The sequence below is a fragment of the Homo sapiens genome, chromosome 5, assembly GCF_000001405.40.
Source record: "Homo sapiens chromosome 5, GRCh38.p14 Primary Assembly".
Taxonomy (NCBI): Eukaryota; Metazoa; Chordata; class Mammalia; order Primates; family Hominidae; genus Homo; species Homo sapiens.
This window is the reverse complement of record NC_000005.10, coordinates 30125683-30143526: the sequence shown is the minus strand read 5'-3', so window position 1 is coordinate 30143526 and position 17844 is coordinate 30125683.

Here is a 17844-nt window from a genome sequence, read left to right as displayed (position 1 = left end):
GAAGACTTGTTGAGTAGCTTTGAGCAAAATGCTGATAGTAATATAGACAATGAAGTCCAGGCTGAGGTGGTCTCAGATGGAGATGAGGGCCGTTTTGAGAACTAGAGTAAAGTTTACTCTTGCTATGCAAAGAAACTGGTGGCATTTTGCCTCTGCCCTAGAGATCTGTGGAACTTTGAAACTGAGAGAGATGATTTAGGGTAACTGGCAGAAGAAATTTCTAAGTGGCAAAGCATTCAAGAGAAAGCAGAACCTGAAAGTTTGGAATATTTGCAGTCTGATGATGTGAGAGTAAAAAACAAAAAACATTTTCTAGGGAGAAATTCAACCCTGCTTCAGAAATTTGCATAAGTAACAAGGAGCCAAATGTTAATTACAAAGACAATGGAGAAAATGTCTCTAGGCATGCCAGACCTTCCCATCACAGGCCTGGAGGTCTAGGAGGGAAAAATGGTTTCCTAAGACAGGCCAGGGACCCCCAGCTTTGTGCATCTTTGGTACATAGTGCCTTGAATCCCAGCTGCTTCAGCTCTAGCTGTGGCTAAAAGGGGCAAATGTACAGCTCAGGCTGTTGCTTTGGAGGGTACAAGCCCCAAACCTTGGCAGCTTCCATGTGGTGTTGGGTCTGCAGGTGCACAGAAGTCAGGCATTGAAGTTTGGGAACCTCCACCTAGATTTCAGAGGATGTATGGAAATGCCTGGATGTCCAGGCAGAAGTTTGCTGCAGGTGCAGAGAACCTCTTGGAGAACCTCTGCTAGGACAGTGTGGAAGAGAAAGGTGGGGTCAGATCCCCACAAGGAGTTCCCACTCAGGCGCTGCCTAGTGGAGCTGTGACAAGAGGGCCACCATCTTCCGGACCCCAGAAAGGTAGATACACCAACAGCTTGCGCCATGCACCTGGAGGGTGGCAGACACTCAGCACCAGCCTGTGAAAACAGTCAAGAGGTGGGCTATACCCTGCAAAGCCACAGGGGTGGAGCTGCTCCGGGCCATGGGAGCTTACCTCTTGCATCAGTGTAATTTGGATGTGAGACATGAAGTCAAAGGAGATTATTTTGTGGCTTTAAGATTCACTTACTCCCTTGTTGGATTTTGGACTTTCATATTGCCTGTAGCCCCTTTGTTTTCATTAATTTCTTCATGTTGGAATGGGTGTATTTACCCAATCCCTATACCCCCATTGTATCTAGGAAGTAACTAGCTTGCTTTTGATTTTACAGGCTTATAGGCAGAAGGGACTTGCCTAGGCTCAGATGAGACATTGGACTTGGACTTTTGAGTTAATGCTGAAATGAGCTAAGATTTTGGGGGACCATTGGAAAGGCATGCTTATGTTTTCAAATGCGAAGACATGAGATTTGGGAGGGGCCAGAGGCAGAATGATATAATTTTGTTTTGTCCCCACCCAAATCTCATCTTGAATTGTAGTTCCCATAATCCACGTGTGTCATGGGAGGGACCGAGTGGGAGGTAATTGAATTGTGAGTTCAGTCACTTCCATCCTGTTCTCATGATAGTGAGTAAGTTCTCACAAGAGCTGATGGTTTTATAACTGGCTTTTCCCCTGCTTTGCTCTGCACTTTTCCTTGCTGCTTCTTTGTGAAGAAGGAAATGTTTGCTTTTCCTTCTGCCATGATTATAAGTTTCCTGAGGCCTCCTCAGACATGCTGAACTGTGAGTCAACCAAACCTTTTTTCTTTTTAAATTACCCAGTCTCAGATATGTCTTTATTGGCATTGTGAGAATGGACTAATGCAATTTCTACAGATTCAATGCAATCCCTATGAAAATACCAATGATATTTGTCAGAGAAATAGAAAAAAAAAATCTTAGGGACCACAAAGGACCCAGAATAGCCAAAGCTATCTTAAGCAAAAAGAACAAACCTGGAGGAATTACATTACCTGACTCCAAATTATACTACAGGGTGATACTAACCAAAACAGCATGGAACTGGCATAAAACAGACACATAGACCAATGAAACAGAATAGAGAATCCAGAAACAAATCCACACAGTGGATTCATTTTCGACAGAGGTGCCAAGAACATACCCTGGGGAGACAGTCTCTTCAATAAATGAAGCTCGGAAAAGTGGATATCCATATGCAGAAAAATGACACTAGACCCCTATCTGCCACTGTATACAAAATCAAATTAAAATGGATTAAAGACTTAAATCTGAGACCTCAAGCTAGGAAACTACTACAAAAAAAAACATTGGAGAAAGTCTTCAGGACATTGATTTGGTCAAAAATTTAATGAGCAATACCCCACAAGCATATGCAATGAAAGCAAAAATGGACAAATGTGATCACAAGTTAAAAAGCTTTTGCACAGCAAAAGAAACAAGCTACAGAGTGAAAAGACAACCCTCACTGTGGTAGAAAATATTTGCAAGCTATCCATCTGACGAGGGATTGGTATCCAGAATATATAAGGAGTTCAAACAACTGTATAACAAAAAGAATCTCATAATTTGGTCAAAAATGGGCAAAAGATTTGAATAAGCAATTTTCAAAAGAATATATACAAATGGCAAACAGTCATATGAATAGGGGCTTGGCATCATGGATCATAGAGAAATGTGAATCAAAACTAAAATGTGATATCATCTCACTCCAGTTAAAATGGATTTTATCCAAATGACAGGCAATAACAAATACTGTGAAGGATGTGGAGAAAAGAAAACCCTCATACACTGTTGGTGGAAATGTAAGTTAGCACAATGATTATAGATAACAGTTCCTAGGTTTCTCAAAATCTGAAAATTTAGCTACCATATGTTTCAACATACCACTGCTGGGTGTATACCCACAAAAAAATACATCAATGTATCAAAGAGATATCTGCACTCTAATAAGATATTAGAAGCAACCTACGTGTCCTTTAACAGATGAATGGATAAAGATAATATGGTACATTTACACAACAGAGCACTATTTAGCCATAAAAAAAAGAATGAGATCCTGTCGTTTGAAACAACATGGAGGGAATTGGAAATCATTATGCCAAGTGAAATAAGGCAGGTACAGAAAGACAAACAGTGCCTGTTCTCATTTACTTGTGAGATCTAAAAATCAAATCAATTGAACTCATGGAGACAGAGAGTAGAGAGACAAAGGTTGAGAATTGTAGTCTGAGGTTGTTGGAGAGGGGGTGATGGTTAATGGTTACAAAAGACAGCATTTAGAAAGAATGAAGAAGACCTTCTATTCGATAGCACAACATGCTGACTATAGTAACTAATAACTTAATGATACATTTTAAAATAACTTAAAGTGTGTGCTTGGATGGTGTGTAACACAAAGGGTACATTCTTGAGAAGATGGATACCCCATTCTCTGTGATGTGATTATTTCACATTGCATGCCTGTACCAAAAAATCTCATGTACTCCATACATATATACACCTACTATGCATTCACAAAAATTAAAAATAAATTTTTAAAAAGTAACATATATCCTGAGGGTGGAAAAATGTAAATTAAATATATGTAAATAGATATGCAAATTATATCTACATAGATATATCTAAATTTTGATATGCAAAGGATAGAAGGGAGAAAGGAGGAAGAAAATAAAGGTAGGAGGGAAGAGAGAATGATAAAAATAATGAAAATTCAGAAAACAAAGAATGAACTCTTAAAAAACGTGAAAACATAATACATATCATAGAGTTTTTTTCTTAGAAATACGAAATTTGGCAGAAAATACTAACACATAGAAAAAGTGATAAAATAAAAAGAAAGTTAGAAAAAATAGAAATCTCATGTTTTCTTTTTCATATTATAAGAGTAATATATAATGCAAATCCAGATTTGCTCAATTAAAGTAACTCAATATTCTCAGTTAACAATGCCAATAATTAACCTGAATGATGTCAACAGTAACATTATCTGAGTTCTTTCTTTATTTTGACTCTAAAGATTTTTACTAATATCATCTTTAAAAATTCAATCACTTGCTCTTTGTTCTCAAAAAATATGTAGGGTAATTCCACCCCTTTATGGCTGTCTATGTTTATCCATGTGTTCTGTTAATGCTCAAAAAGTCTTATTTTTTGCCGGGCGTGGTAATCCCAGCACTTTGGGAGGCTGAGGAGGGTGGATCACGAGTTCAAGAGATCGAGACCATCCTGGCCAACATGGTGAAACCGTGTCTACTAAAAATACAAAAATTAGCCGGGCGTGGTGGTGGGCACCTGCAGCCCCAGCTACTCGGGAGGCTGAGGCAGGAGAATCACTTGAACCTGGGAGGTGGAGGTTGCAGTGAGCTGAGATCGTGCCACTGCACTCCAGCCTGGGTGACAGAGCAAGACTCCATCTCAAAAAAAAAAAGAAAAAATCTTATTTTTTAAATAGAAGAAAAATACTTTGCAATATTCAGCTTTACACACTCAAAGGGAGATAAAAGAGTTTCTATATATTTAAACTGATAGCAACTCTAAGAAATCTACATGTGGTCACATACAGAGGACAGTAGCAAGAATGTTATCATTATCACTGTTAACACTTTTACTTGAAAGTAAACTTTTATAATACTTTTACTCAAAAAACTTCTACAGAATTTGGCTGTATAAGATATTTATACAACATTTTAATTGTACAAGTCTAGACTGTTGGTATAGAGTCTTTAACTTATATATATAGTTCATCATCAATAGAATGCATAATATGATATATCAGTATTCTCTTTCTGTGGATGTGAGATTTTAAAGGAATGCTTTAGAAGAATGGTGATTTTTTCAAGCTTTGCTTACCGTATATACTGTATACATATTAAGATCTTAATAATAATCTAACAATTATAAAGTTACTATAAAGTTTTATAATAATGGTCAGAAAAATAAAAATGTAGAGAAATTATAGAAAATATATTTTATAGGAACTATTCTCAGGTGAAATGGTTTGAAAAATTACCTATAATAAGTGATGATATTGATGAGCTTGTGTAAGCATTTTTTAAAAGTCATTAGTTTGAAGTTGGAGCAAGAAAAAGGATGAAAATTGACTCTCCTCTAGGATATGGATATATCATTATCTGGCATATTTTGTTCTTATACAGAATGTTTATTCATGAATATTATAGGCTGTATCAACATTTTCAGCTCTTACTAATCAAAGATACTGTACTAATATCTATTAGGCCCTAAAAGATTTTGATAATATTTACATTAATATTGGGCTATACTACCACAGTATCTGTTCCAAAACTTTTCCACTTTTCTCAGTTTTATATTCACTCACCTAAATGCAACAGATAAATCTAAAATATTTATTGAGAAATCAAATCTATAGGAAGTGACATCTGTCCTCATTTTTAATTTTCTTACTTCCTCTTTCTACCCTCCAGCCTCAGGCCAAAAGCTTTGTACTACTGCCAAAAACCAATTTTGCCAAACTTAAATTTTCAGTTATATACTGTCCTGATTCCTGTGTGCTATGGTTCTCATTCTTCTTGTTCTGATTTGTCAGACAGGTTAAAAAAAAAAAAAACAAGAAAAACAAACAAAAAAAGCACAGATGAGGGCCAGGCTCAGTGGCTCAGGACCATAATCCTAGCACTTTGGGAGGCCGAGATGGGTGAATCACCTGAGGTCAGGAGTTCGAGACCAGAATGACCAATATGGCAAAACCCCGTGTCTACTAAAAATACAAAAATTAGCTGGGCATGGTGGCGGGTGCCCATAATCCCAGGTACTCAGGAGGCTGAGGCAGGAGAATCACTTGAACCCAGGAGGCCGAGGTTGCAGTGAGCCGAGATCTCACCACTGCACTGCAGCCTGGGCAAGAGAGCAAAACTCCGTCTTGCAAAAAAAAAAAAAAAAAAAAAAAAAAAAGAAAGAAACAAAGAAAAAAAGAAAAATAATAATAATAAAAAGCACAGGGATGACACTTAATGATACTACTTCTATTTTAACTTCAAACTATATTCCTCCTTTTAAATAACTTGTATCTAAGAATTAACATTTTATTGTCTTTCCGTTCTATGCTTAACTTCCCCTCATTCCCTGAATTCCTTACTCTCAGCCATCAAATCACAAAACTAATAGTTGTTTTTAAGACTGCATTTACCTCAACTTCCTCAAGGCAGGTTCTTTTCTTTCTTTTACTCATTAAACATCTGAGTTACATTTTATTTCTCAGTCTCTCAGTCTCTAATTTCTTTGCAGATGAATGAATGCAATGTGTATATTTCTACGTGTCTTCTGGCTACTTGCAGTGTAGATGACTTTTATTCTTTTAACACAATACATCTGTATTTAAAATCATAATAATAAACTGAATTTCCTGTTTCTACCTATCACACATCTAAATAACAAGATCAAATTCTTAATAAATTTTAATCATTACATTACCTTTTCTTTTTCATAAGTTTAGATCTCTGAATGATATTATTCCTTGGCTTTTCCTGTTTATTCCAAAATGTAATGTAGCTATTCAGAAATTTACATTGCACATAATTAAAATATCTCCCTATTTTTTGATAATAGGAAAGGGAATCATGCAACATGTGGGGTTCCCCTGGGGCTTTGAATTGTGAGACTACAACTACAATGCTGGCATTCTATATCTTGAGCTATATCTTTATCTGAGAGGTGCTTACCAATCAGGGGTGCCTTTATCTTTTTGTACAATTAAGATCTGTGAATTCTACCAAAAATATCTGTCAACAGCTATGGAGCATTTAAGATTTTATCCTATTTGCAAGCAGAAAAGATAGCCTGACACATTGTCTTTGAGGTAGGCAGAAGACTAGAGACTTCTAGGTCAGAAACGTAGTTCTTTATTATTCAAAACACAGCAAGCAGTGTGATCCTCACACTTCCATACATTTCCACTACTTCCCAAATGTTATGGTGGAGACACAAAAGACCCAGGTGAATTCTATGCCTCCAGTGAATTGGGGTCTTAGCTAAATCCTCAAAACTTATTAAATACAAATTCCTGCCTTACATGAAGACATTTATTGGAAGTTCAAGCTAACATATGTTATCTTTATCTTCCAACACTGTTGTTTATAGAAACCACCTTGAGAAGAGAGTCTGGATAAAAGATAACCAGTTCTGCTGTTTGCAAAACATGCAGAAATATTAAAGACCCATGAAGAATTACTCCCCAACATGCAGAAATATCAGAGACCCATAGAAACTTATTCGGCAACATTGTGTTATCACTGAATAAAATTATGTAAATAAGAAGAGAGGCTTTGACGTTAGACTCACATAGTTTTAATCCCAGCTCTAGCATTTAAGTGTGATATGATTTACAACTTAGTTTATCCAAGTCTCAATTTCTTCATCTGTTAAATAAGGATCATAATACCTCATTCACAAAGTTGTCATAAATGTAGATAAAAATAAATTGATGCACAATGAGAATTAAATACATTGCTATTATTAAATTATTAAAATAGATTAGTTTATTTTCCCTCACCTTCCATTGTTTTCTTCATTCCAAAGCCTTTAATGATTCTCTTTATTTCTAGAGTAAAGATATCTACTTAGGCATTTGTACATCAAACAAGCCCTGTAATCAGAAGATATTAGTCTAGCTGTCTTCATACTGGCTTACATATACCACGGAAAATTAAAATGTTCCCAGATATACGTTGATACTAGTAATTTCATGATAATTAATGTTCAGATTATTGTTTTCCATAGGTAATCATTTATAATTTTGTTTTGTTGAGGTCTCCCCACATTTGAGAAGGCATGATCCTTCCTACAACCCCATCACAACAAAAGAAAGACTTACCTCTCACCTATTCTCTGTTTACCATATGTAGTCTTTGATGCAAAATTAATTGCAGGATGCCAAATAAGAGACAATTTGAAATATTGGTCAAATTTTCTTTTGTTCTGTGGGTGCCAAAATCTAGCAGTAAGGCTTTCTCTTGTACTCTGTCTTATACTTAATTTAAAAATCTTTGCTCTAAGAAGATGGTAATTAGGCCTATATTAAGGTGATTTTAATTGAGATACACTAAAAAGTAGAGAGGTTACCAGATGAATGACAGTCTTTTTTTAATAGCCTTATCTCTTTCTTCCTTTAGCTTTAGTCAAAAAATATATCTCTCCTACATAGCACATAAGAACCAAGCAGAGAGAGCATAGGGATGCAAAATACTCTTTTTTTTCATCTTAAAATTAGAATACAGTATTCAACCTATGTAAAAACCAATACAAACTGGGAAGTACAAATCTACTATAAAATATGTCCTCCTAATTTTTATCATTCTCAGTAAAATGGATAAGTTATTTACATTTATCTTTCTTTTAATCTGTGTTTGTGATTTGTGATGATTAATACTGAGTGTCAACTTGACTGGATTGAAGGATGCAAAGTATTGTTCCTGGGTGTGTCTGTCAGGGTCTTGCCAAAGGAGATTAACATTTGAATCAGTGGACTGAGAAAGGCAGACCCACACTTAATCTGTGTGGGTACAATCTAATCAACTGCCATTGCAGCCAGAATAAAAGCAGGTAGAAGAACATGAAAAGGCCAGACTGGCTTAGCCTCCCAGCCTACATCTTTCTTTTGTCCTGGATGCCTCCGCCCTCGAACATCAGACTCCAAGTTCTTCAGCTCTGGGACTCAGACTGGCTTCCTTGCTCCTCAGCTTGCAGACGGCCTACTGTGGAACCTTGTGATCATGTGAGTTAGTACTCCTTAAAACACTCCCCTTTATATATACATCTATCTTATTACTTCTGTCCCTCTAGGGAACCCTGACTAATACATTATTATTTTTCTCGATTTTAAAGAGAAATAGTCAAAAAGTTTACATTTACTTTAGAGATTAAAGTTATATACATTGTAAAAGGAACATATTTTGGATTTAAATTACAGTTTGCAGTTTAAAAGACAAAACTATTAAAAGCAACTATAGCAATAATAATATGTTAAGGAATAAAAATTATTTAAAAATTGTAAATAGTGTCATCAAAAACATAAAATGTGTGTGTGAGGTGAAGTGTAAGATTTTTGTATGTGATGAAAATTACATTGTTATCTGCTTAATATAGCCTGTTAAAAGTATAAGATATTTTATATAAACCTCATGGTAGCCACAAAGCAAAAACCTACAGCAGATACAAAAAAGATAAAAACTTTGGAATCAAAGCATACCACTACAGAAATACAACAAACTACAAAGGAAGATAGAAAGACAGGAAAAAGGGAACAAAATATTTACTTTAGAAAAACAAAACCAGAAAGTCATTAACAAAATGCAACGTGGCAGTAGTAAGTCCTTACCTATCAATTATTTTGAAAGTAGAGTGATTGAAAGAGAAAAACAAGACTCAACTGTAGGCTGCCTACAAGAAACTCATTGACTCACTTCACCTTTAAAGATCCACATAAATTGCAAGTGAAGGGATGGAAAAAAGATATTTCACACAAATGGAAATTCAAAGAGAGCAGGAGTTGCTATAGTTAGAGCAGACTGCATAGCCTTTAGTCAAAACTGTAAAATAAAGACAAAAAGTTATTATATAATAATAAAGGGGTCAATTTATTAATAGGTGTGATTTGGTTTGGCTCTGTGTCACCACCCAATCTCATGTCAAATTGTAATTCCCATTCCCATGTGTTGGGGGAGGGACCTGGAGGGAGGTAATTGGATCATGGGGGTGGATTTTTCCCATGCTGTTCTCTTGACAGTGAGTTCTCACGAGATCTGATGGTTTAAAAATGTGGACTTCACCCCTTGCTTTCTCTCTTTCCTGCCACCATATAAGAAGTACCTTGCTTCCCCTTCTTCTCCTGCCATGATTGTAAGTTTCCTGAGGCCCCTCAGCCATGCAGAACTGTGAGTCAATTACCCTCTTTTCTTTATAAATTTCCCAGTTTCAGGAAGTTCTTTATAACAGTGTGAAAATGGACTAATAAAAGGTGATAACAATTGTAAATATATATGCACCCAACATTGGAGCACCTAAACATACAAAGTAAACACATTCATCTATCACTTAATGATGGGGATACATTCTGAAAAATGTACCATTAGGTGATTTCATGGTTGTGGGAACATCACAGAGTTTACTTACACAAATTTACCACACACTGAGGTATTGCTTACCACACACTAAGACTATATAGTATAGCCTATTGCTCCTAGGCTACAAACTGTACAGTATGTTACTGTACTAAATACTGTAGGCAACTATAACACCATTATATGTATTTGTATATCTAAACATATTTAAGTGAAAAGGTACAATAAATGAATGGTAAAATCTTATGGGGCCACCATCATATATGCAGTCTATTGTTGACCAAACACTGTTTTTTTAGCATATAACCGTATCAATAGACATAAAAGAGGAGATATGCTCTAAAACAATAATACAAGAGGACTTTAATACCTCACTTTCAACAATGGACAGATCATCCCAGAAAATCAATGAAGAAAAATAACTTGAACTACATTTTAGACAAAAAAGAAATAATAAACATATATATATTAGACCATCCCATCCAACATCAGCAGAGTATACTTTCTTCTCAAGTGCACATAAAATATTCTCCAGAATAGACCATATGTTGGGCCAAAAATAAATAAGGAAATAAATAATAAATTTTAGAAAATTTGAAAAGATTGAAATTATACCAAGAATCTTTTCTTACCACAGTGGTGTGAAGCTAGAAATCAATAACAGGGAGAATTTTGGAAAATTCAAATGCTCTTGTTGAAATTGAACAAGCGCCTAAACAACCAATGAGTCAAAGTAAAAATGAAAAGGGAAATTTTAAAAATTACTTGAGACAAGTGCAAATGGAAACACAACATACTGAAACGTATGAGATGCAGCAAAGGCAATCCTCAGGTGAAAGTTTAGAGTAATAAATGCCTACATACATTAAAAAAAAAGTTCTCAAATAAATAACCAAATATTAAACCTCAAAGGACTAGGAAAAGAACAAGGTAAGCCCAGAATTACCAGAAAAAAGGAAATAAAAAAGATCACTGGAGAACTAAATGAAATATACCAGATAAAAATAAAAAAAATAATTTGAATTTTTTAAAGATAAAATTAATAAACTGTTAGCTAGACTAAGACTAAGACAGAAGAATCAACTAACTAAAATCAGAAATGAAAGAGGAGACATTAAATTTGATACCATAGAAATATCAAAGACCAGAAATGAATATTATAAAAAATTATATGCCAAAAAAATTGGATAATCTTGAAGTAATGTTTACATTTATAGAAACACATAATGTAACATAGGAAGACTGAGTCATGAAGACATGGAATATTTGAACAGAGTGATAGTAACTAAGAATTGATCAGTAATTGAAAGTCAATTATCAAATAAAACCCCAGGACTTTATGTCTTCAATGGTGAATTCCACCAAACATTCAACACAAAACTATCACCAATCCTTTGCAACATCTTTCAAAAAACTGAGGAGGATAGAATTCTTGAAAGTTTTTCCTCTAAGGTCAGGAAGAAGACAAGTGTTCCCATTGTTACTCCATCTATTCAACTTAATACTGGAAGTTCTGACCAGAGCAGCTAGACATGAAAAAGAATTAAAAGGATTGAAGGATGGATTGAAGGATGCAAAGTATCATTCTAAATAAGAAAGGAGGTGAAGTTGTCTGTGTTTGTCAATATTATGATTTTAAATATGAAAAAACCCTAAGGATTTCACCAAAAACCTATTAGAATGTATAAAGGTACTCAGTCAAGTTGCAGGACACAAAATCAACATACAAAAATCAGAAGCATTTCTATATACTAACAACAAAGTAACTAAAAGCATGTTACTGATACCAAAACAGCTATATAGACCAATAGAACAGAACAGAGGCCTCAGAAATAACGCCACACATCTACAACCATCTGATCTTTGACAAACCTGACAAAAAAAGCAATGGGGAAAGAATTCCCTATTTAATAAATGGTGTTGGGAAAACTGACTAGCCATAAGCAGAAAACTGAAACTGGAACCTTCCTTATACCTTACACAAAAATTACCTCAAGATGATTAAAGACTTAAACATAAGACCTAAAACCATAAAAACCCTAGAAGAAAACATAGGCAGTACCATTCAGGACATAGGCATGGGCAAAGACTTCATGAATAAAGAACCAAAAACAATGGCAACAAAAGCCAAAATTGACAAATGGGATCTAATTAAACTAAAGAGCTTCTGCACAGCAAAAGAAACTATCATCATAGTGAACAGGAAACCCACAGAATGGGAGAAAAATTTTGCAATCTATCCACTTGAGAAAGGGCTAATATCCAGAATCTACAAAGAACTTAAACAAATTTACAAGAAAAAAACAAACAACCCCATCAAAAAGTGGGCAAAGGATATAAAAAGGCACTTCTCAAAAGAAGACATTTATGCGGCCAAAGGCATATGAAAAAAAGCTCATCATCACTGGTCATTAGAGAAATGCAAATTGAAACCACAATGAGATACCATCTCACAACAGTTAGAATGGTGAGCATTAAAAAGTGAGGAAACAAAAGATGCTGGAGAGGATGTGGAGAAATAGGAACACTTTTATACTGTTGGTGGGAGTGTAAATTAGTTCAACCATTGTGGAAGACAGTGTGGTGATTCCTCAAGGATCTAGAACTAGAAATACCATTTGACTCAGCAATGCCGCTATATACCCAAAGGATTATAAGACACATGCACACCTATGTTTATTGCAGCACTGTTCACAATAGCAAAGACTTGGAAACAACCCAAATGCCAATCAATGATAGACTGGATAAAGAAAATGTGGCACATATACACCATGGAATACTATGCAGCCATAAAAAAGGATGAGTTCATGTCCTTTGAAGGGACGTGGATGAAGCTGGAAACCATCATTCTCAGCAAACTATCACAAGGACAGAAAACCAAACACCACATGTTCTCAGTCATAGGTGGGAATTGAGCAATGAGAACACTTGGACACAGGGTGGGGTACATCACACATGGGGACCTGTCATGGGGTGGGGGAAGGGGAGAGGGATAGCATTGGGTGATATACCTAATGTATATGATGAGTTAATGGGTGCAGCACACCAACATGGCACGTGTATACCTGTGTAACAAACCTGCAAGTCTGCACTTGTATCCCAGAACTTAGAGTATAATAATAACAAAAAAAGAAATTATGAAAACAATACCTTCACTATAATATCAAAAATTAAAACATTTAGGAAGAAATGTAAGTAGGTGACAGATCTGTTTACTGTGAACTATAAAGCATTATTAAAAGGAATTGAGAAACACACAAAAAAGATATAATGTTTTCATAGATTAGAAGAAGTAATTATGGTAAGATATCCACACTACTCAAAGTTGTCTACAGATTTAATATAATTCCTATCAAAATTCTGATATCATTTTTTACATTAATAGAAAAAAATTCTAAAATGCATATGGAACTACAAAAGACCTTGAACAGTCACAGCAGTTTTGAGGAAAAAGTACAAGCTGGAGGCATCACACTCCCTGATTTCAAGATATATTACCAAGCTATAATACTCAAAACAGCATGATATTGCAAGAGTTGCATCCACCAATGGAACAGGATAAGGAGCCCACATATAAACCTATCTATTCACAGTCAGTTGACTTTTGACAAAGGTTCCAAGAAAACACAATGGGAAAAAGGACTGCCTCTTCAATAAATGGTGTCTGGAAAGAATGAAAGTGGACTTTCAGCTCACAACTTATGCTAAAATCTACTCAAACATGGATTAAAGACTTAAATGTAAGACCTAAAATTGTAAAAGTACTAGAAGAAAACATGGGGGAAAACTCTATTAAATTTGTTTTAGCAACAATTTATTGTATATGAACCAAAAAGCACAGGCGACAAAAGCAAAAATAGACAAATGAGATTGTGTCAAACTAAAAAGTTTCTGCATAGCAAAGGAAATAATTAACAAAATGAAGAGATTACCTGCAGATTGGGAGGAAACATATGCAAATCATACAACTCATAAGAGGTTAATATCTAACATATGTAAGAAACGTTAGCAACTCAATAGCAAGAAAACAAATACCCAAACTGTAAAGCAAACTAATAAAAAACAATACCTGAATAGACATTTTTCAAAAAAAGGGATACAAATGGCCAAGTATATAAAAAATACTCAACATCCCTAATAATCAGAGAAATGCAAATTAAAATTCTAAAGACATATCACCTCATACCTATTGAAATGGTTCTTATAAAAAAGAAAAAAAAGTAACAAATGCAAGAATGTGGACAAAAGTAAACCGTTGTACAGTATTGATGAGAATGTAAATTAGTACAGCTATTATGCAAAATAGCATACAGCTTCCTCAAAAAATTAAAAATAGAACCACCATGTGAACTTGGAATCTCAGTTCTAAGTACATACCCAAAGGAATTTAAGTAAGAAAGTATGTTAAAGAGATAAATGAACCATCATGGTTCATTGCAGCATTATTCACAATAGCCAATATGTGGATCTAACCTAAGTATCCATCATGGTATGACTATATAAAGAAAATATGATATGTATTACAATGGAATACTATTTAACCTTTTTAAAAAGGAAATCCTGTTATTTGTGACAACATGGATGAACCCAAAGGACATTATGCTATTAATAAATTAAATAAGCCAGGCACAGAAAGACAAATGCTACATGATGTTCACTTACATATCAAATCTAAAAATGTCAAACTCATAAGAGTAGAAAGTAGAATCTTTGTTACCAGAGACTGGGGGTGGATAGGAGGGTGGAGAAATATTGGTCAAAGGGAAAATATATAGTCTTGAATATTTACTCAGAATCAAGGGTAGGGCTGTCATTAGTTTTCTCCTAAAGATTACTGGATGCTCTAAATTCATCTTCACTTTTAAAATTTGTGATTCAAATCTCCTCACCATTACTTATATACCCGTTCTTTGTTGTAGCTACTCCTATTGTGTAATTATTATATTTTAATAAACTCGTAGGTTTTGAATTCTAATTTAAATAATACCCTTAACAAAATTATTAACACCTACTTATAAGCTCTGTATTTATAATAATTCAACACGTTTCTCTCTTTTGGCTATGAATTTCTACAAATTAGGTTAAATTGTGTGTATTTTTGAAAGGTATATTGAAGCATAATTTATGTACAATAAAATGCAAATTTTTAACACGTTGAATTCTCTGAATTTTGAAGCCATATACAGTTATGTAACTATCATGATAAAAAATATGGAATATCTATGTTACCACAAAAACTACTTTTATGCTATCTTGGAATTTCTAACTTGAACAAATTTTCGAAACCTGTTTAATTTCTCCTAGAGACAATATTTTTCCAATATTGTCAATTCTTTAAATATAAACATAGTTTAAACCAAGATATGAAATTATGATTCTATCTCTTACATAAGAATACTTAACAATTTGTGTCTGTTTGTAACCGTCTTTTGAAATGAATTAAACCATTGTTTATGTAAATAATTTTTCATATGGCATAACTACGTAGGACTATATATAATAACAAAGATGTTAACATGCACAAGTTTCTTATGAAACGTTGTTATTTGTGTCTGGTTACATTTAATATTTATCCTAATTAAGAAGATTCCTCCAAAATGTAAGATTAATGGATATAGTCTTTTGTTACATCTTAGAATTATGTAACATTTATGAAAATGAATAACATCAATGACTTGCTAATATATTCCTTTAAAATTTGAATTGCTTCCAACTTTTGCATCTAAAATTTAAAAAATAATTTAGTTATTTGATGAATGTCACTTGATAATGAAAAATATTTTTTGAATATATAATACGATGTGATTTTGGTAGATGCTTCAGTAACGATTTTAATTAATTGAGAGATACTGCGATAACAAATTTATTTCATTCCACTATGTCTATGTACAAGAACAAGATTACTAGAATAATAATATCTACCCCTTCAAGCTCTTATAAAAATTAAATGAAATAATGTAACCAAAGCTATCAGTACTGACAAAGAAAATTGCCTAAAATATTACTAAAATTTTAATAATAGTTTGCTTTAATAATGGTATGGAGTGATTTATATTTTCTTATATACATCTCTAAATTTAATTACCTATATATGATCATATTAGGTTTTTACTCAAAGAAACAACAAAGCAATATTTATTATATGCTAAGAAAAAACTGAATTACTTCTGTATTAAATTTTATAGTGAAATTTTACTACTTATAAAATATTTAGAAACAGATTACCAGGAAAAATACTAAAATACCAAAAACAATTAATCTCTGGATGATGGTATTCTAGATGACTTACTTCTATTTTTTTGCACAATTTTTCTCCAATTATTTTTGGGGGGATATTTTTATAATATTATACTTTATAATATTATATGTATTACGTGTATGTATAATATTATAAAGAACTCCCCAAAAACCCACAAAGTAAAAATTAAATTTATGAAATGAACTATCACGGAAAGACATGAAAATGTATCTTAATTACTTACTATTAAGTAAAAGATGTCAATGTGTAATGACTTCATATTGTATGATTCCAACTATTTATCCCTATAAATAGGCAAAACACAGAGGATTTTTAGAGCAGTGAAAATACTCTGCACGATGCTATATGACAGATGCATATACAACAGGTAGGGTGAGCACTAATGTACACTGTGGATTTCGGGTGATTAGAATTTGTTGATATAGATTCAACGATTTTAACAAATGTATCATGCTGATGGAAGATTTTGATAATGGGAAAGCTATGTATATGTGGGGGCAGAGGGTATATGGGGACATAAAAAATCTAATATATTTTGAATATTATCCAATTTCATTAATATGTGATAATCAGCTATGAGTAGATAAGCCAATTGCAAATGTAAACATAAGAATAAAAAACCCTACATTTCACTAAGATGCATTTCCAATAAAATTTCAAACAATGTGTTTAATAAATGTGTGTTAATAGTAAAAATTATTTTCTATTGAAAATATTTTTGAAATAAATTACTGTTTATTTCAATATAAAATATTTTTTAACTATTCAGAGAATTAAATTTCCATTTTATGTTTATTTTTATTTCAAAAAATAGGATAAACAGTTGATAGAAGTCTTGTGATCATAAAAAATATAAAAGCTATAAAAAGTAGCAGGAGAAATGGAACATAAATATAAAATATAAAGTTAAGGATAAAGTAATAAATTTCAAACTGTTAAAATAGAGCTTATTTTTTCAGTCTTTTAAATGAATAATTGATTTAAAGCCACTGACTTTTAAATTGTATTTGGCAAGTTAAAAAAGTGAAGTAATAATTTACTTTTTAAAATCAAGTTTTAAAATATGACAAAATTAGATATTTTGATAAATGTATAGCTGTTTACAAAGTATACTTCCATTTCTGTTTGTGAGAGTCTAACTTGTACTAGAACAGGCCTCTAAGCAAAAATAACTGTAAAAGTGAACAAGTACATGAGACAACTGGTTTCAGACGTTGTACAATAGGCTGCAGAGGACTTTAATCCCTGAGTGCTTGGCCTTTTTCCCCACTACAGTACAGGGACAGCTTGGGGCACATTTCCTACACATTGCACATTGTGGCTACTGAGAAAGCTAAAGCATTTGCAGAAGGGCAGTGGCAGAGGATGTTGAGCATGAGCAGGATGTGCCTACATGGGATCTTACTCAGAACAATATCTGAGGAGCAGTGAATTCAACAAAGACTCTGGTGATCACACAATGCTAACATACATCAGAGATATTGGCATTCCAAGCAGAGTGAAGAGATGTGACAGAACACCTGGGGCAGTAATGTGACAGAAAATTCCAGCTAAAAGTAGTCCTAATCACGCCTAAGAGT